This window comes from Homo sapiens, chromosome 1 (assembly GCF_000001405.40).
Source record: "Homo sapiens chromosome 1, GRCh38.p14 Primary Assembly".
Classification (NCBI taxonomy): Eukaryota; Metazoa; Chordata; class Mammalia; order Primates; family Hominidae; genus Homo; species Homo sapiens.
The window spans coordinates 186,516,421-186,539,106 of record NC_000001.11 but is presented as its reverse complement, the minus strand read 5'-3'; positions in this window follow the sequence as shown (position 1 = coordinate 186,539,106).

Genomic DNA, 22,686 nt, shown 5'->3' with positions numbered 1-22,686 from the left:
GAGGAAAAGGGATCTTTAGAGTGAGAGTGCACTGCTTCTCGATTTCTCGCCAGTGGCTTGCTGGTCTTTCCAACTGGGTGTTCTTTCTTTGCAACCAACATAAAGTAGAGAAAGAACTCAGTTTACCAGTGACACTTTCTGATAATCCAGTTATATTAGCAGCTCTACAACTTCTTTTATTTCTTGCACTTCCCATATAATTTTTCTTTTTCTCTTTTCTTCCTTGCATCCATGCAGCATATTGATGGATGCCAATAACATAACCAGTATGAGAAAAACAAAAAAATATGCTTTTTAGATGATCAAGGCTTACTCTTAGCTAATGCAATGGAGAAAAAACTGTCAGATTAATGTATGAATGGGCTGGACAATTAATGTTTATTTTAAGCTAATCAAATATTAATATTAGGTAAAAGCACTGAATCTAGAAAAAAAGCATTTTCCCAAATTAAACAAATTCTTCATGTCTTTTAGCAATGCTATTTGTCTTTGCTTTCCTAAATTTCATTTTAACTTAATGTTGACTATATAGCAAATATTAAAACATATATTCAGAATTCCTTTTAAACAATCTATAGCGTTCAAACTTTCAGACTTGCAATATTATGAAAAATCTGAAGATGGCTAAGAAACATAGCAAGGCCTGGTGGCAAGAGCTATAATCTCTGAGTCAGAAGCTGAACTTACTACCAAAAGCTGAATGACCTCAAAAAGGTCATTTAAGTCCACAGTGTTATAGTTTTACAGACTATAAAATGGGCATAATATTTATCCTGTATATTTAACATTAATATAATGAATATAATGTTTCAGTTAGATTCACAAATATTTATTTTCTTTTTTTGGACAGGGTCTCACTCTGTTGTTCAGGCTGGAGTGCAGTGGTGTGATCTCAGCTCACTACAACCTCTGCTTCCCAGGCTCAAGTGATCCTCCTACCTTAGCTTCCTGAGTAGCTAGGACTACAGGTACATGCCACCACACTCGGCTAATTTTTGTATTTTTTTAAAGACGGGGTTTCACCAAGTTGGCCAGGCTCGTCTCGAACTCCTGAGCTCCGGTGATCCACATGTCTCAGCCTCCCAAAGTGCTGGGATTACAGGCATCAGCCACTGTGCCCAGCCTAATACCCTTTTATATCCCAAGCATTCTTCTAGATATAATTTTTAAAAGATGTGCATAGTCTCTAACTTCATGGAATTTATAAGAGATTAATGACAATGATGACTCACAAAAGTATGATGAATGTTACAAAAGGAAATATAAAGGTAGCTGTGAGAGCTTTAGATCAAGGGGATTTAAATCTGTGGGGGAATCTCCTGAGAAGATGAAGGGCTAAGGCCTAGGAATAGGGGTATAACAGAGAAGATTAATATCTTAAGTTTTCAACTTGGTTGCATATACGAATAAAAATAGCAGCCGAACATGCTTTACTGACTTTTAGTGTGCTTAAGAAATTAGTTGCCGATATTGAAAAACTTTGAGATTACAGAAAAAAATCAAATTTCTAGTTTTCTTGAAAAATTAGAGGATCTAAGACATGGCAGCAATCAGTTGAACCAAGTAGCAGCTGCTTTTATGAGAGTATGTGTTCTCCATTTTGCCACAGGTACCAGCAATCCTGACCGTATTATACCTGATCTGCTTCACTTTAATCTGCCTCTGCTACATTTGGATTTTAATATCTGATCTAAAAAGAAGGTTGTACTATACACTGAAGAAGGGAAGTAAATCCTGTGTGTCTTGAGCAAGAGACAAAGAAGAATCAGAGTGGGAGCTGAAGCTGAAGTGGTATGTAGGTATCTGATACAGACAGGGAAAAAAAAGTGTTTTTCCTTCTCTAACACTCATTCAATACGGCACAGAATGCTTCTGTGACCAGATGTGAGGGAGGGGTTCCCCACACATCAAGAAAATCTCCAGCAGACACCAGAGGGGTGTCCTGGAATTCTATTCAATTCTCACATTATTTACCTGGAGATAACTTAGGGTAAGGGCTCAGTCCCACAAGACTGACACTCACTTCAGATGCCAATCACAAGCCACAGGTTGTTACCTTTTCTTCCGACTGACTGGCTATAAAGCAGGGGTTCCCATGACCTCTTCTTTGAGTTTAATTTGCTAGAAGAGCTCACAGAACTCAGGAAAACACTTCACTTATATTTACCCATTTATTATTAAGAATACTTCAAAGGATACAGATGAACAGCCAGATGGAAAAGATGCATAGGGCAAGAGATGTGAGAGCTTCCCTGCCCTGTTTGGGTGCCACCCTCCAGGAACCTCCACATGTTTAGATCCCCAGAAGCTCTTCAAATGCAGTCCTTTCAGGTTTTTATGGAAGATTCATTGCATAGGCATGACTGACTAAATCATTAGCCACTTGCGATCGACCCAAATTTCACTCACCCTGGTTGGAGAGTGAAGCTAAAAGTTCCAAATCTTAAATTGCAGGGTTGGTTCCCTTGGCAACAGTTCTCCATTCTGAGGCTATCTAGTAGCCCCCAGTTTTCCAGGAGTCCCCAGCCATCAGTCATCTTATCAGCTTACAAAAAGACATATCACTTAAGAGACTTCAAGAGTTTTAAGAGCTGTATGCCAGGAAAAGGGAAGGAAAACCAAATGTATTTAATATTTCACAATATCACAGTGCCAGATGCGGCAGGCCTGGTAAGCCTTAGGTCAATGGATGCCACTGAAGAGACTAAAACAGGGAAATAACATGCTCATATTTTAGTTTTAAAAATGCATTTCTAAGTGCAGTGTGGAAAGTGAATTTCAAAAAGCTGAAGATGAAAAAGTATTAATTTGCATTATATTGCAAAACTTCAGATGAAAACCAAGGATACATTTTAAATTTTGTGTGCAGTAGGTTCTATTGTGATAAAAGAAAGGTACTGTGACTCTTCAACTTTCTCTAAAGACGATAAAATAAAAATTAGTCATATCTTGAGAAAACATTGACCAAAATTATTCTAACATGAAGGGGAAAAAAATTTGCATAAAAAGTGAAAAACCAGACGATAAAACCTGAGTGATAAAAGTTTCCCGTATGTTACAGAGAGTCTTTCCCTTGCTCAATACAGTACATCTTAGTATTATTCAAATAAACTTAAACTAAAACAGACTCACTAAAAAGGACATAACTCAGAATGACCCATGGGGCTTATTTCCTGTTAGATTCTATCCCTGGTTCTGCTCTATAATTCTTTTTGAATACATTTCAGCAATGATTCATCTTGTCAGTCTGCCAACAGTCTTTCCTACTGAGAAAGTGGCATGTACTTCACGTACTTTAGCAGAAACACAATTGAAGACTTTGCTTAGATTGCCCCCAATTATCTTATTTACTTCTCAAAAATAAGTCATACTATTTTTATCAGTAATATGGCTCTCTAAAACTAAATATTATATGACAAACAGTGAAAGTTCATTTAAAACACCAAGAAAACACTATCAAGGGTGACGGACCTGCATTTTGGGGACCTAGCCTCCTTTAGCAAGGCTCACTGCCTGGGATCTGTGTGGACACTGCGTCTGATGTCCAGGGTAAGTCTCTGCCTTCCAGGCCCAGCCTAGAGCAGTGGGTACCATGGCACATCTGACAGCATTGCACACTCTTTTTTTTTTTTTTTTTTTGGTGATTCTTCTGCCCTAATATATTAGCAAGATTTTAGTCAAGAATATTACTTCATTATTATAGTCTCACTTTATTCCCTACTATCCTCATCTCCACCTCCAGATTGAGACCTGGAGTTCATGAAGAGCTGAGCTAAAGTAATAATACTTGGTTATTTTAAATGGCTAATATTAAATAATTAATATTTATTGAGTCATTATGTATCAGAGACTATTAAAAGTGCTTTGTATGTATTAGTTCCTTTTATCTTCACAATAACCGTATCAAATAATTAGGGAAGTTATCATTTTTAAAAATAAGAATACCCAGCCATATAGTGATTAAGTTAACAGCCTATGGCCAAATACAGCAGGTGGTGAAGGTGGAATTTAAAACCTTGCTATTAACCATCACTCTATAGCTCTAGAGCCCACACTTTGAAGCTCTACATGATAGACATTCTGCTGTACTTGGAGTCACATTTTTTCTGTAATATTTGACTTCATTAAATGTGCTGTTTTCTAGGTGACCTCTGGTCAGCCACGAAATTAGGCTCCTGGTGGATACATTCTATCAGTCATGAGTATGAGCAGACATAACTGGATATCAGTAACTGACATAAGTTCAAGCTGGGACCCCTATTTTTCTCAACTCCTGGAAACAGTGACCTCACAGTTCTCTCTTGTTTTTTCCTTCATCTTTATCAAGTCAGACCGAAACCTTGACTTTTTGCTTCTCCTACTTAATGCCTTTATTGTAGATGACATTCTTTCCTCAACTGGGCATGAGTAATGGCAGAGAGCAAATAAGGAATCCTCTCTCTCTTTCTGGGTCAGAAACAAAAAAGGGGGAAGGAAGCCTACTTCACGCAAATATGTTATGGAGGTTTTGCTGGCAGCAAGGATTTTCTGTGTTCCTAAGATCCAAATTTCCCAGCTGCAACTCAAGATCTAATTTTCCCCAACGGAGAAGTGATTAAGCCAAATCAGTCATAGACTCACCTCTTGAACCGTTCTCCTGAACTCTCATTTCCTTACAAGCAATACATCCTACCTTTAAATTGTTGAATCCATCAATTTCCCTCCATTGTTATCCCCAGTAACCTTGCAAAGATCACCATCATCACTTACCTAAATTACTGAAAACGCATCCTACCTGGTTTCCCAGGCTCCTATCCACCCCCATTCTCATTTCATTTTTCACACTGTAGCCAAAGAATCTTTGAAAAATGCATATCTAGTCAAATTACCTCTATGTATAAAATTCCTCAATGACTCTCCATTGTTCTTAGAGAAATCAAAATGTTTCAATATTGCTTTCAATGACCCCAATCTCATTTATATTTCCAGATTCATCATTCATCATCCTTCCCAAAAGTGGCTCTTCAGTCTTTTCCATTCTATCACCCATAACTCCTCTTTATTTCACTAAGGTAATATATATTTTTTCTTACCTATGGATATTTGCATGTCTTTTCTCCCAACCTCTCATTGTCCCTTCTCCTTTTCCAGGCTAACCCTTTCACATTTTGTATGCATCCATATCACCCTATTTTCCCATTGTTTTCATGGAAGGTTGCATTTTAATTGTTATTATTTGTATAGTTTGTACCTCAAGCTAAACTGTAAGCTACACAGGAACAGGAACTACTTTATTTTGATTACAATTGTATCTCCAGCACCTATTTCAGTGTCTGGCAAATAACAGGTATTCAGTAATAATTTATTGAATGAATGAACACATGAGTAATCTGCTGCATTATGAGTTAAATAAGTTCCCATGGGTCTATCTGAAAGCTAAACTTTCAAATGAAGTTCTGGAATAGTCAGTTAATAATTTGGGATTTTGCTCCACTTTGCCCATTTGTTTATTTAGAAATGGAATGCATTTTTACACAATCATCTGTTCCTTTCCTCCTTAAAGGCCGCTTCTAGATTTCTTATATTTGTTATTTAATCAAACAGGAATACAGAATAAAACCATGATCAGAGGTAGAGATGTCAGAAATAGCATTAGGAGAACTAGAAACAATAGAAAATAGAAAAAATAAATGTTATAAAGTGTTGACATATTACCTGGTGTTTATTGAGTGTTTAACAACTAGCACTTAGTAGGTCCCCCCAAAAATGTTAATTTTCTTTGTGAATGCAGCAAATTTTCAGAGTACTCTTATCTGAATGTCCCTGATAGAAGAAGATGTTGATAGCCATACAGATGCCTCTCTGTCTATAGAATCAAGTTTAATCATTGACTTTAAAATTTTAGTGTCCAGCACTGTAGTATAATAAGTTTATTGTGAGATCTTCCCCCTATAGAATTACGCATTGTGAATAGAATGGAGTCTTGGAGTCACTGTAAGTCTTACAAAAGGTTTGGAAGTTATGTTAGTATCTTTCTGAGTAGAGGAGTGGTGGTGGGTAGGTTTAACTGTGGCCAGTGCTGGCAGCTGGAAACAGTAGGCTGCCCAGAGGAGTTGGATTGCCCTGAGACAGATACTGGTAGTATAACACTATTGGGATTCTGAGCCTTAGACTAGCACTGAGGTGTCAGCTTGAGCCTTCACTTTCAGCTGATTTAAGATACTTACAGAGAATTTAAGTGGTCCTTGGCTATTAGAACCCTTTGGATCTCAGCACAAGCAATGCCTCTCTGTTGAAATTATTGCCTAATTTAGACCCACTTGAATGCCACATAGTAAAGTAAGAGTAGCTCACAATAAAAGCTTATAAAGAAAAGGCAAAGTTAACATTAGCTAAAGCTAGCAAAACCAATAAACAACAGATCTAGACCCCCTAGACTTTATGTATGGAGTCATAAGAAAGAATGCTGGAAGATGGCTGATTAGAAGCAGATGCAATCTGTGGCTCTCATGGAGAGAAATGAAAGGGGCGAGTGAACTCAATACCTTCAACTGAAATATCTGAGTTCTCGCACTGGTACTGACTAGGCAAACAACTCAACTCATGGAGAACAAAGAAAATAAGGGTGGGGGTGATGGTCCATCCTGGAGTGTCATGGAGCCGAAGGAACCCCTACCCCCAGCCAAGGAAAGTGGTGAGTGATGTACGACTCTGCCAGGGAAACTATGCTTCTCCCACAGATCTTTGCAACCCACAAGTCAGGAGCTCCTCTTCCGAGCCCATGCCACCATGGTCTTGGGTCCAATACACAGAGCTGTGTGGAGTCTCAGTAGAGTAGCTGTTCAGGCACACACAGAGACCTGGGAGTTTTACATACTTTAGCCCCAAGATCCCTAGCAAGGTGGGAGATCCATCTGCACATATGCCTAGGAAGAGGGCCGAATTCAGGGAGCCAAGCAGCATCATTCTATGGATTCCACTTCCATGGCACCTCACAACTTAAGACCCACTGGCTTGGAATTCCAGCCAGCCAATGACAACAGTCTGGAGTCTGTCTGAGATGGAACCAAGTTCCCAGGGGAAGAGGCAGACACCATCTCTGTGGTTTGGTTGACTCAGCCATTCCAGCCTGCCAGCTTTGGAGAGTCCAAACAGTTTGAATGAGGAAGGAACCCCCACAACACAGCACAGCTGTTTTGCCAGATAGTGGCCAGAATGCTTCTTTACGTGGGACCCCAATACATTCCTCCTCACTGGGCAGGACCTGCCTGCCAGGGCTTCAGCCACTCCAATCAGAGTTATGTGAACAGAGCTCCATCCCAGGGAGAGATCAGTTGACTCAGCTGTTCCAGCCTGCCTACTTAGGAGAATCCAAATGGTCTGGATGAGGAAGTGTTTCCTCCCACAATTCAGCACACCTTTTTTACCAAAAAGCAGCCTGACTAATTCCTTAAGCAGTTCCCTGATCCCATTCCTTCTGAATGAGTGAGACCTTCCAACAGGGGTCTACAGCCATCTCCTACAGGTGCATTTGGACTGGCAATAGGTCAGTGCCCCTCTGGGATGGAGCTCCCAGAGGAAGGAGCAGGCTGCCATCTTTCCTGTTTTGCAACCTTCACTGGTGATACCTCCAGGTACAGGAAAAAGTGAGGCAACTAGGGTCTGGAGCAGACCCTGAGCAAGCTGCAGCAGCCCTACAGAAGAGTGGCCTGACTGTTAAAAAAATAAAAAGCAAACAAATGGAAAACTACTACAACAACATCAACAAAAAAGACCCCACAAAAACCCCATTCAAAGGTCAGCAACCTCAAAGATCAAAGGTAGATAAGTTCACAAAGATGAGAAAAAAATCAGTGTAAAAACACTGAAAACTGAAAAAGCCAGAGTGTCTCTTTTCCTCCAAATAACTGCAACATCACTCCAGCAAGGGCACAGAACTGGGCTGAGGCTGAGATGGCCAAATTGTCAGAGGTAGGCTTCAGAAGGTAGATAATAATGAAATTCACTGAGCTAAAGGGGCATGTTGTAAGCCAATGCAAAGAAGCTAAAAATCATGATAAAACAATACAGGAACTGAGAGCCAGAATAGCCAGTTTAGAGAGGAACATAACTGACCTGATAGAGTTGAAAAACACAGTATGAGAACTTCACAATGTAATAACATGTATCCATAGCAGAATAGACCAAGCAGAGGAAAGAATCTCAGAGCTTGAAGACTCTGTCTTATCTTTCTGAAATAAAACAGGAGGACAAAAACAGAGAAAAAAGAATGAAAAGGAGCAAACAAAACCTCCAGGAAATATGGGATTATGTAAAGAGACCAAACCTGCGACTGATTGGAGTACCTGAAAGAGATGGGGAGAACGGAACCAAGCTAGGAAACATGTCAGGATATCATCCAGGAGAACTTCCCCAACATAGCAAAACAGGTCAACATTCAAATTCAGAAAATGCAGAGAACCCTGGTAAGATACTCCACAAAGATACCAACCCAAAGACACATAATCCTCAGATTTTCCAAGGTTGAAATGAAAGAAAAAAATGTTAAGTGCAGCCAAAGAGAAAGGTCAGATCACCTACAAAGGGAAGCCCATCAGACTAACAGCAGAACTCTCAGCAGAAACCCTACAAACCAGGAGAGATTGGGGGCTGTTATTCAACATTTTTAAAGAAGAATTTCCAACCCCAAATTTCATATCCAGCCAAACTAAACTTTATGAGCACAGCAAAAATAAGATCCTTTTCACACAAGCAAATGCTTAGGGAATTCGTCACCACCAGGCCTGTCTTGCAAGAGCTCCTGAAGGAAACACTAAATATGGAGAGGAAAACCCATTACTAGCTACTACAAAAACACACTGAAGTACACAGACCACTGACACTATGAAGCAATCACATAAATAAGTCTACAAAATAACCAGCTAGCATCATGAAAACAGGATCAAATTCACAATACTAAACTTAAATGTAAACGGGCTAAATGTCCCAATTAAAAGACACAGAATGGCAAACTGGATACAGAATCAAGACCCATCAGTATGCTGTATTCAAGAAACCCATCTCACCTGCAAAGACACACCTGCAAAAACACTCAAAATAAAGGGATGGAGGAAAATTGACCAAGCAAATAGTAAACGGAAAAAAGCAGGGTTGCAATTCTACTTTCTGACAAAACAGACTTTAAACCAATAAATATTTTTTAAAAAAACAAAGAGGGGCATTACATAATGGTAAAGAGTTCAATTCAATGAGAAGAGCTAACTAACCTAAATATATGTGTACAGGAGCATCCAGATTCATAAAGGAAGTCCTTGGAGACCTACAAAGAGGCTTAGCCTCCCACACAATAATAGTGGAAGACTTTAACACCCCATTGACAATAATAGATTATTGAGACAGAAAATTAACAAAGATATTCAGGACCTGAACTCAGCGGTGGATCCAGTGGACCTGATAGATATCTACAGAACTCTCCATCCAAAAAAGAAAAAAAAAAAACAGAATATACATTCTTCTCATAACCACACGGCACTTACTCTAAAATGGATCACATAATCGGAAGTAAAACCCTCCTCAGCAAATGCAAAGGAGCTGAAATCAGAACGAAAAGTCTGTTAGACCACAGTGCAATCAAATGAGAACTCAAGATTAAGGGATTCACTCAGAACCATACAACTACATGGAAACGAACAACCTGCTCCTGAATGACTCTTGGGTAAATAACAAAATTAAGGCAGAAATCAAGAAGTTCTTGGAAACTAATGAGAATAAAGAGGCCATGTACTAGAATCTCTGGAACATAACTAAAGCAGTGTTAAGAGGGAAATTTATAGCACTAAATGCCCATATCAAAAAATCTAGAAAGATCTCAAGTTAACAACCTAAAATCACAACTAAAAGAATTGCAGTACCAAGAACAAACAAGCCCCAAATCTAGCAGAAGACAAGAAATAACCAAGATCAGAGCTGAAGTGAAGGAGATAGAGACATGAAAAACCCTTCAAGAAATCAACAAATCCAGGAGCTGGTTTTTTGAAAATATTAATAAATAGATAGACTGCTAGCTAGACTAATAAAGAATAAAAGGGAGAAGAATCAAATAAACACAATCAGAAATTATAATGGGGATTACACCACTGACCCCACAGAAATACAAACAACCATCAGAGAATGCTATAAACACCTATGTGTAAATGAACTGGAAAATCTAGAAGAAATGGATAAATTCCTGGACACATACACTCTCCCAAGATTGAACCAGGAAGAAATTGAATCCCTGAATAGACTGATAACCAGGTCTGAAATTTAGGCAGTATAGCCTACCAACCAAAAAAGCTCAGGGCCAGATGGATTCACAGCTGAATTCTACCAGGGGTACAAAGAAGAGCTGGTACCATTTCTACTGAAACTATTCCAAACAATTGAAAAGGAGGCACTCTTCATACTATGACACCAGCAATATTCTGATACCAAAACCTGACAGAGGTAAAACAAAAAAAGAAAACTTCAGGTCAATATCCTTGATGAACATCAATGCCAAAAATCCTCAATAAAATACCAACAACCCAAATCCAGCAGCACATCAAAAAGCTTATCCATCACAATCAAGTTGGCTTCATCCCCGGGATGCAAGGTTAGTTCAACATATACAAATCAATAAGTGTAATTCGTCACATAAACAGAACTAAAGACAAAAATCACATGATTATCTCAATAGATGCAGAAAAGGCCTTTGACAAAATTCAACATTCCTTTATGTTAAAAACTCTCAATAAAGTAGATATTGAAGGAACAAACCTCAAAATAATAAGACATATATTACAAACCCACAGCTAATATACTGAATGGGCAAAAGCTGTAAGCATTCCGCTTGAAAACTGGCACAAGAGAAGGATGCCGTCTCTCACCACTCCTATTCAACATAGTATTGGAAGTTCTGGCCAGGGCAATCAGGCAAGAGAAAGAAATAAAATGTATTAAAGTAAGAAGAGAGGAAGTCAAATTATTTTTGTTTGCAGATGACATGATCCTGTATCTAGAAAACCCCATCATCTCAGCCCAAAAGATTCTTAAGCTAATTAAAAACTTCAGCAAAGTCTTGGGATACCAAATCAATGTGAAAAATCACTAGCATTCCTATACACCATCAACAGGCAAGCAGAGAGCAAAATCATGAATGAACTCCCATTCAAATTGCTACAAAAAAAATAAAATGCCTGAGAATACAGCTGTATTAGTCCATTCCCACACTGCTAATAAAGACATACTTGAGACTGGGTAATTTATACATAAAAAGAAGTTGAATGAACTCACAGTTCCACCTGGCTGGGGAGGCCTCACAATCATGGCAGAAGGAACATCTTATATAGCAGCAGGCAAGACAGCATATGCAGGGGAACTTCCCTTTATGAAACCATCAGATCTCTTGAAACTTATTCACTATCATGAGAACAGCAAGGGAAAGACCTGCCTCCATGATTCAATTACCTCCCAACAGGTTCCTCCCATGATGCATGGGAATTATGGTAGCTACAATTGAAAATAAGATTTGGGTGGGACACAACCAAACCACATCAACAGCTAACAAGTGAAGGACCTCTTCAAGAAGAACTATAAACCACTGCTCAAAGAAATCAGAGAGGAAACAAATGGAAAAAAAATTTCATGATCATGGATAGGAAGAATCAATACTGTGAAAATGGCCATACTGCCCAAAGTAATTTACAGATTCAATGCTATTCCCATTAAACTACCATTGACATTCTTCACAAAATTAGAAAAAACTATTTTAAAATTCATATGGAACCAAAAAAGAGCCCAAATAACCAAGACAATCCTAAGTAAAAAGAACACAGTTGGAGCCATCACATTACCTTACTACAAGGCTATAGTAACCAAAACAGCATGGTACTGGTACAAGAACAGACATACAGACCAACGGAACAGAATTGAGAACTCAGAAATAAGACTGCACACCAGCAACCATCTGATCTTCAACAAACCTGACAAAAACAAGCAATGGGGAAATTATTTTCTATTTAATAAATGGTGCTGGGAGAACTGGCTAGCCATATACAGAAAATCGAAACTGGGCCCCTTCCTTACATAATATACAAAAATCAACCCAAGATGGATTAATGACTTAAATGTAAAAGCCAAAACTATAAAACCTTAGGAGAAAATCTAGGCAATACCATTCAGGACATAGGCATTGGTAAATATTTCATGACAAAAATGCCAAAAGCAATGGCAAAAAAGCAAAAATTGACACATGGGATCTAATTAAACTAAAGGGCTTCTGCACAGCAAAAGAAACTATCATCAGAGTGAAAAGACAATCTGCAGAATAGGAGAAAATTTTTGCAATCTATTCATCTGACAAAGGTCTAATATCCAGAGTCTACATGGAACTTAAACAAATTTACAAGAAAAAAACAAACAACCCCATTAAAAAGTGGGCAAAGGACATAAACAGACACTTCTCAAAAGAAGACATACATGCAGCCAACAAACATAGGAAAAAAAGCTCAACATCACTGATCATTAGAGAAATGCAAATCAAAACCACAATGAGATACCATCTCATGCCAGTCAGAATGGCTATTATTAAAAAGTCAAGGAACAACAGATGCTGGTGAGGTTGCAGAGAAAAAGGAATGCTTTTACACTGTTAGTGGGGGTGTAAATCAGTTCAACCATTGTGGAAGACAGTGTGGCGATTTCTCACAAAAATCTAGAAGCAGAAATACCATTTGACCCAGCCATCTCATTACAGAGTGTATACCCAAATGAATATAAATCATTCTTTAATAAAGACACATGCATGCCTATGTTCACTGCAGCACTATTCACAATAGTAAAGACATGGAATCAACCCAAATGCCCATTAGTGATAGACTGGATAAAGAAAATGGAGTACATATACATCATGGAATACTATGCAGCCATAAAAAGTAATGACATATGTCCATTGCAGGGACATGGATGGAGCTGGAAGCCGTTATCCTTAGCAAACTAACACAGGAACAGAAAACCAAATGCTGCATGTTCTCACATATAGGTGGGAGCTGAACAATTAGAACACATGGACACATGTGGGGCAACAACACACACTGGGCCTGTGGGAGGAGCAGGGGAAGGGAAAGCATCAGGAAGAATAGCTAATGGATGCTGGGCTTAATACCCAGGTGATGGGTTGATCTGTGCAGCAAACCAACATGGCACTTATCTACCTACGTATCAAACCTATACATCCTGCACATGTACCCCGGAACTTAAAATAGAAGTTGAAAAAAATAAAAGAAAAAAATAAAAAGATGCTGCTTTTTTATTAAAATAAAACTAGAAAAGAAAATAGGTTAAAAAAGAAAAAATTCTGAGTAAATGTTTGAAGAAATAAAGGATTCTATTACAAAGATAGCAATTAAATCTATGAACCCATAGATTTGAGAAGGAAAAAGAAACATCTAAAAATGAAAATATAAGAGTTGAAATTAAAAACTCAACCAATAGGCTAACTAGTAAACACATCTAAAGGAAGAATTAATGATGATAGGTCTTGAGGAATTACACAGAATGCATTACAAAGAGATAAGAAAATTGAAAATTTTAAAGAGGTATAGAGGACAGAAAGAGAAGGTTAACATAGACTTAGCCAGAGTTCTAGAATAGTAGAATGACAGAAAGGTGAAGAGGCATAATTTAAAGACATATGTCACAATTTTTGAGATCCAATAAAAGCAGGAATCTTCACAGACAGAGAAATCAATATATTCCAAGTAGGTTAAATTGAAAAGAAAATCCAATCCTGGAAACATGAAGTTACAAAAAAAAAAAAAAAAAAAAAAAAAAAAAAACAGTTGGAATGACAACAGTAAAAATGAAAGTTAAGAGAAAGTGGGAAAATCTCTTCTAATTGTTGAGAGAAAAAAAACTGTCCACCTAGGATAATGTATTCAGCCAAGCTGCCGTTCAAGAGTGTGCAAAATAAAGATGTTTAGACAAACCCAAACTGAGAAGCTGTATCAATAATATATATTCAGTATATTAATAGATAGGAAGAAGAGAAATTACACCCAGAAGCATGATCTGAAATACAAGAATAAATGATGAGCTATGAGCAAATAAAGTGATAAATATTTTTGTGAATAGAAGCAAACATTGACTAAATAATGATTTTTAAATATGAATGCATTAGTCTGTTTGTATACTGCTATAAAGAACTGTCTGAGGCTGGGTAATTTATAAAGGAAAAAGGTTTAATTGACTCACAGTTCAGCATGGCTGTGGAGGCCTCAGGAAACTTACAATCATGGCAGAAGGCAAAGGGGAAGTAAGGCACCTCCTTCACAAGGCAGCAGGAAAGAGAATGCCAAACAAAGGGGAAGAGCCCCTTATAAAATCATCAGGTCTAATGAGAACTCACTCAGTATCCTGAGAACAGCATGAGGGAAACTGTCTCCATAATCCAATTACTTCACCTGATCTCTCCCTTGATACATGGGGATTATGGACAGTGTAATTCAAGATGGAGATTTGGGTGGGGAGAGAAAGCCTCACCATATTACTCTACCCTTGACCTCTCCAAAATCTCATGTCCCTGTCACATTTTAAAACCAATCATGCCTTCCCAACAGCTCCCAAAGTCTTAATTCATTCCAGAATTAACCCAAAGGTTCAAGTCCAAAGTCTCATCTGAGACAAGGCAAGTCCCTTTTGCCTATGAGCCTGTAAAATCAAAAGCAAGCTAGTTACTTCCTAGATACAATGGGGGTACAAGCATTGGGCAAATACAACCATTCCAACTGGGAGAAACTGGTCAAAACAAAGGAGCTACAGGCCCCATGCAAGTCCAAAATCCAGCAGGGCAGTCAAATCTTAAAGCTCTGAAATGATCTCCTTTGACTCCATGTCTCATATACAAATTACACTGATGCCAGAGGTGGGTTCCCACGGCCTTGAGCAGCTCTGCCATAATGGCCTTCCAGGGTACAGCTCTCCTCCTGGCTGCCTTCAAAGGCTGACATTGAGTGTCTGCGGCTTTTCTAGGCACATAGTGCAAGCTATCGGTGGATCTACTATTCTTGGCTCTGGAAAATGGTGGCCCTCTTCTCACAGCTCCACCAGGCAGTGCCCCAGTGGGGACTCTGTGTGGGTGCCCTGACCCCACATTTCTCTTCCACACCACCCTAGCAGAGGTCCTCCATGAGGGCTTCACCCATGTAGCAAACTTCTACCTGGACATATAGGTATTTTTATACATCCTCTGAAATCCAGGTTGAGGTTCCCAAACCTCAATTCTTAACTTCTGTGCACCAATAGGCCCAACACCATGTGTAAGCTGCCAAGGCTTGGGGCTTTTACCCTCTGAAGCAATGGCCTGAGCAGCATGGTGGCCTGTTTTAGCCAAGGCTGGGACCCAGGACACCAAGTCCCAAGACTGCACAAAGCAGCAAGGCCCTGGGCCTGGCCCATGAAACCATATTTTTCCTAGGTCTCTGGGCCTGTAATGGGAAGGGCTGTTTAGAAGACCTCTGACATGTCCTGGAGACATTTTCCCTCTTGTGTTGGCAATTAATATTTGGCTCCTCATTAGTTATGCAAATTTCTGCAGCTGGCTTTAATTTCTCCCCAGAAAATGGGTTTTTCCTTTCTACTGCATTGTCAGGCTACAAATTTCCAAATTTTCCAAATTTTATTTTCTGCTTCCCTTTTAAACATAAGTTCCAATTTCAAACTTTCTCTGTGGATGCATAAAACTGAATGCTTTTAAGAGCACCCAAGTCACTTCTTGAATGCTTTGCTGTTTAGAAATTTCTTCCTCCAGATGCCCTAAATCATCTCTCTTAAATTCAAAGTTCCACAGATCTCTAGGGCAGGGGCAAAAATGCTGCCAGTCTCTTTGCTAAGGCATAGCAAGAGTCACCTTTATTCCAGTTCCCAGCAAGTTTTGCATCTCCATCTGAGACCACCTCAGCCTGGACTTCATTGTCCATATCACTATCAGCATTTTTGTCAAAGCCAGTCAACAAGTCTCTAGGAAGTTCCAAACTTTCCTGCATTTTCCTGTCTTCTTCTGAGCCCTCCAAATTTTTCCAATCTCTGCCTGTTACCCAGTTCCAAAGTCGCTTCCACATTTTTGGGCATCTTTATAGCTGTACCCCACTCTCTACAATACCAATTTACTGTATTAGTCCCTTTTCACACTGCTATAAAGAAGTGCCAAGACTGCGTAATTTATAATGGAAGGAGGTTTAATTGGCTCACAGTTCAGCATGGCTGGGGAGGCCTCAGGAAACTTACAATCATGGAGGAAAGTGAAGGGGAAGCAAGGCACTTTTTCCACAAGGCAGCAGGAGGGAAAATGACAAAGGGAGAAGAGCTTCTTATAAGACTATCAAATCTCATGAGAACTCACTCACTATCCTGAGAAACCACCACCATGAGCCAATCACCTCCACCTGGTCTCTCCCTTGACATGTGGGGATTATGGGGATTATAATTCAAGATGAGATTTCATTGGAGACACAAAGCCTAACTATATTAAGTAATGTCAAAATTATGGAATTGAATAAAAGGATAGGATTAAAATTCTGGACAAAATTAGCACATATGTTTAGGGAGGATTAAAGTATCATAAAGTCTTTGTCTTTTTTTTTAGGAGAGGGGTAAGATAATGATAATTCTTAGAGTTAAAGTATTGTAGAGTCTTTGTATATTTTTTAGGAGAGGGCTAAAATAATGATAATTCTGACTCCTGGTAATGGTTTGCTAGGTTATTCTGATAATATTTGTTAACCCTAAAAAGGAAGAATGAACAGGCTAGAGGCAAATAAACATTTATTCAGGAACAGGGATTACAACCCAGTTAGCAGCCAGAGACTGCACCACCTGAAAGAGGAAAGAGGGCTTACATTGAGAAAAACTTATTTAGTTTACATATATTGTTTGTCAGATTATTTCATTAGTTGATTAAACGTGAATAAATTACATCAGTTTGTCAGAAAAGCTATATATATAAAGTTCTTAAAGATAGTGACCGGTTTCTTTATAGTGTGTACTGTTGAGAGTACAAATATTTGTGAAGGAAGTGTTACTTTGTAGATCTCAAAGTTCATCGGCAGTATTAATGTGAAGTCAGTAGACAAAGATGAAATTACTGATGGCAAGTGTGGAACATTGATAAGCTCACATTTCCCTCATTTGATCAAGATATTTCTCCCAGGAGAGAATATCTGTGATCACCACAGGTCCCTAGACACTGACGAAATCAATGCTGTATGAGCTCCATCTTGTCCTGCAAAAGCCAGGGTGAAGTAAGACTATCTGTTCTGGGTCCCTGGCTCACAGGGAAGTGAATTTACAAGCTATTTCATAGACTCAGTCAAGCTTATAATTCTAGGTGCTGTAAGTTCCTTCTGGATGTTCAGAACAGGCTACAGGAATCTGGGCCAACATCAAATCAGTGGGCAGCATTAGTGCTTGTTCTAAGCATTGAGACAAATACTTACAGATCAACAAAATTATCAGAAACAATAATGTTTTCCAAGAACTTAGTGAACAGTTTTAAAAAAGAAACAATAATGTTATAATGATACTAAGTTGTAACAGGGATCTAGTCAAGGAATGTATCCTTTCTGGTAACAACTAAATAAGTCAAAGGATGGCTTACCAATAGATGGCACTTGTCTTAGCCGACCTGCCTAAACTAATTTTATTGAGCTCCAGTTCAACTACTTCAGAGGCATTTTCCCAAGTATAACGTAAGTTGTTAACTATCCCACAAACATTTCCCTGTACTGCCAACAGATAATCTAGAGTAATTCTGTTATTTAATACAGTTGCTGCTAATGAATTTAAAGATTATTACTGAGTGGCAATAACTTTGACAGTTGAATAGGTTAGTGTATTAGTACATTTTCACACTGCTATAAAGAACTTCCAAAGACTGTGTAATTTATAAAGGAAGAAGGTTTAATTGACTCACAGTTCCACACATCTGGAGAAGCCTCAGGAAACTTACAATCATGGTGGAAGGTGAAGGGGAAGGAAGGACCTTCTTCACATGGTGGCAGGAGACAGAAGCGAGCACACAGGAAAAAATACCATTTATAAAACCATCAGATCTTATGAGAATTCACTCACTATCACAAGAACAGCATGAGGGAAACAGCCCCCATAATCCAATCACTCCCCTCCCTCAACATGTGGGGATTACAATTTGAGATGAGATTTGGGTGGGGACACAGAGATAAACCGTATCAGCTAGGTTGCCTAGGATTTGAGAGAAATCAGTAATCATGATCATATTTCTCCATGTTCTACTCCAGGCAAAGCAAACAAACAAACAAAAAAACACTAATTGGGCAGAAGATGACATATTTATGCCTCAGGTGCTCCAGGATTTTCCCTTTTGAAACAGGATAAATATAATCCTTCTGGCCAGAAGAAGGTGTTATTGGAGGGATAAATGAGGTATTTTAGTGACATGAGCACCCAAGTACACTGACTTGCTAATGACCAAGAGTCAAGGAATTTTCTTCCCCAGCATATAAAAGGATTTGGTCCCCATTCACAGACAAATATATAAACATAAGCACACAGGCTTTTAGTACTTTTGAAGGAGTCATTTTTAGGTTCAGTCTGATTTGCTGTTATCAGTCAGTTTTAAGAGTGGGAAAAATTGCATTGCATAAAGACCAACTTTGATTAGCATTTGCAAAACCAAAAATGACAAATAAACTGGTTTTCTTTTTGCATTTTCTCCTGAGAAACAAGAGTTTTAGTTGTTGAGTTATAGCAACAAGTATTCTTTTTCCATGCTTAAGAGAACAAGATCAAATTGAAACAGGGTAGGTTTTTGTCCTAGTTTCCCTTTATGTGCACCCTGATAATAAATAATGTTTGCATATACTAGTTCTACTGTGGCATTGGGAATTCCCAAGCAGTTTGTTATTGAAGTTACTCATGAGTCATAGTGGAAGGACAAAGTTTTATAGCAATCATGGCAGATCCAATTAGAAAAAGTAACATATGTGACATTATTGACTAATTTCCTTAAGGCATTTTCATTCCAAGCATTTATAACTGATATAACAGTTAAAAAATTAATAACACAATCATTGTTTATTATAATTTTGTTGAGCCTTTTCTAACAAATATGCAGCAAAAATCTCACATAAATGTCAACAGTTAACACAACCTCCATAGCAAATTTTCTGCTTGTTGTACTATACAACTAGTCACTTCAAAGATTTGGTAAGTTGAAGGGTCAGTTTTCCTGTTGAAGTTGATGCCCTTGGGGGTTGGAGTGCTTTCTTAAGGTGTGAAATATGGATCCAGGAGTTTATTTTCTGTAATTTGGAAATACAAAGATTAGTTAACAACACTTGATAAACTTCATCTCATCAAGTTTCCAGAGAAGGTTTGGATATAAAGTACTTCTTATAAACAAAGTCTCCTGATTAGATATGATGTAGTGTGTCATCATCTCCTAGAAGCTCTTTCATAAAGCATCATTTACAAGTTGATAGTTACAATTCACTTGGGTGATTAGTCCTTTGCATTACTGAAGTACTGGTTCTTTAATAAGGATGGAGTCAGAACGAACTAAGGGTGATGGCATAGGTATGCCTATAACTATCTCATAAGAGGCTAGGTGATGTTTTTTTAAGGGGATAGCTCTCAGATTCATCAATACTAATGGTAAACAGTTTGGCAAGGCAATTTAATCATACATATATTTTCCCAATTGGGTTTTTACTATTCCATTAGTTCTTTAAATGAATCCTGAAGATTGTATGCACAATGAAAGTACTAAAATGTAGGTTATGCCTTGCCTATAGTTGGAATTGGAGACTCTGTCTCATGAAATGTGTATGCTGGTTTCTGTGTAACTCTTTAGAAACACCTCAAAGAGGCGTTATTTTTTCTAGTAACACTTTCACTACTGCCATGGCAGTTGCTTGATGACAAGAGAAGGCTTCTGCCCAATTTGAATACATGCAGACCATAACCAAAACATATTTGTAATCTCAAAAGGGAGGTAACTGGATAAAATACAACGGAAATACTTCAAAGAGGGCTTCTAGTAGGTCAAATTTTCCCCTTGAAACTTTTATGGGTTTTCCCAGGTTAAACTTTGGACACGTTGTACATGTGTTACTTACCTGTTCTGCCTCAGAACAGAATTTTCCCCACCAATATTGTTTTGTTTATGCAAACATTTTATCATCTGTCCAGTGAGCTAAATCATGGAGTTTTTCTAACAAACACTTTGATAACGTTTTAGGTAATATAGGTTTTTTCACTGAGACCTTTCCAGAGATCCTTTTGTGTATTTAAATAGTAGTCTTGTTCTTTCATTTATTAATCTAACTGACAAATGCATGTTGTTGTGTATGTCTTGTTATAGTTTCCATGGATTCCTCAGGGGGCATAATGAGAGAGGATGCCAGGGAGGTCATGGGGCATACATTTACACTTAGTTTATAACAAAACCAGGAGTCATAGCTGCTCCTATGATCAGCTAATGCATTTCCTTTTGCCTCTTTAGTATCTTTAGTGCAGTGGGCTGGCACCTTATTTATAGCCATTTTCTTAGGTAATTGAATGGCATTTAGTAATTCATTAACTAGAGCACCATTTTTTATGTGATGTCTGGATGAAGTTAAAAACCTCTCTATTCAGACAAGACCATAAGAGACAGAGAGAGTGAGAGAGAGAGAGAGAGAGACCTCTCTGTTTCCAAAGCATTCCAAAATTATGGTCAACACCAAAAGTCTGTCAACTATCTGTGTGTGTATATGTATATGTATATATATATTTTTTTTTTTTACAGTGTGTTTTCTGGCCAGAGTGCAGGCCCAAATTATTGCCTATAATTTAGCTTGCTAAACACTCATATATGAAGGAAGAGTCCCACCATCAACTTCATGTTCTTTTGAGGCTATAGCATACCTGGTTTGTAAATCTCCATCCTTGTTTTTTAAGTCAGAAGCCATTTGTAAACCATCCAAAATCAGCATTTTTTAAACTGTAATTATTTTAAATCAGGTCTTGATATGGTTATGCGATGGTTAATATTGAGTGTCAACTTGATTGGATTGAAGGATGCAAAGTATTGTTCCTGGGTGTGTCTGTGAGGGTGTTGCCAAAGGAGATTAACATTTGAGTCAGTGGACTGGGAAAGGCAGACCCACCCTCAATCTGGGTGGGCACCATCTAATCAGCTGCCAGCATGATCAGAATAAAAGCAGGCAGAATAATGTGAAAAGACTAGGCTGGCTTAGTCTCCCACCCTACATCTTTCTCCCATGCTGGATGCTTCCTGCCCTCGAACATAGGACTTCAGCTTTGGAATTCCGACTGGCTTCCTTTTCCTTAGCTTGCAGATAGCTTATTATGGGACCTCACCTGGTGATCATGTGAGTCAATACTCCTTAATAAACTTCCCATTATATATGAATCTATCCTATTAGTTCTGTCCCTCTAGAGAACCCTAATACAGGTTATGTGATTGGTATAGGCTGCACAATCACATTCTAAAAGGCTTGTAATCCCAATGGTTAAACATCAGCAGTATTAAGACTGGTGGTTTTAAAGAATTTTATATTATGTGATGAGAGAAAAGTAAACTCATTGTGTGAGGGGGCTTGTAGATAGATTATGAGTATGTTGGGAATTTAAGAGAGTCTCAACAAAATGTGGAACATAAAGGTTTAAGACTTATGCAAAATGCTCTCTGATACTGCCTTGACCATAAGGTAAGTGGCAGAGATAGTATCAGAGAGAGGATAGAAAGGACTGAGCAAGTGGATCAAGTTTCTCAGAGAAATAGTCAAGAGGTCTCTGGCTATTGCCATGTTTCTAGGTTAGAATACCGAAAGCATGCCCCTACTTTTTATACACATATTAATTAAATTCTAAATCATAGTTAGGATATCCCAAAGTAGGGGGAAAGCAGAATGATGTTTTTAAAAAATTTTTAAAAACTTCCTCTATCTCTGTTATTCATTTTATTTATCAGGACTTCCCTTTAATGAAGGGATTTAGCTAAAACAGAAAACTCGGGTATCCGTTACCAGCAATATCCAACCAATCCCAAGAAATCTCGTAACAATTGAGAAGTTTTAGGTTTGCGGAATTGCTGGACCCCTTTTATTCTTTCTGGGTCTAATCACTTTCCTTTAGCAGATATTAAATCTCCTAGAAACTTAAATGATGGTTGTGTTATTTCTAGTATTTTCTTACTCACTTTATGTCCATGTTCAGCTAAAAAGATTAGTAATATAAAGGAGAACACACTAAAAGGGAGAACACACTAAAAGGTCATCTACATATTTTAGCAAAGAAAACCCATGTTTTAAAGATAGATCTCTAAGATCTTTGCTAAGGGGGTCTGAGAAAAGTATGTGGGACTGTCAGTATATCCCTGAGGCATTACAGTCCAGGTATATTGTTGATTTTTCCATGCAAAGACAAAAATTATCTGTCTTTATATACTGGCATGCTAAACAAAGCACTACACAGATTCACAACACAAAAGAAAATACTATCCTGAGGAATGAAAGAGAAAAGGGTATGGGGATTTGGCACAAGAGGGTGATGGGGAATTACTCTATTATTGATGCTCTAAGATCTTGGACAAAATACCAAAATACCACCTTCTATTTCCAGGCTTTTTTTTTTTTTTTTTTTTTTTTTTGA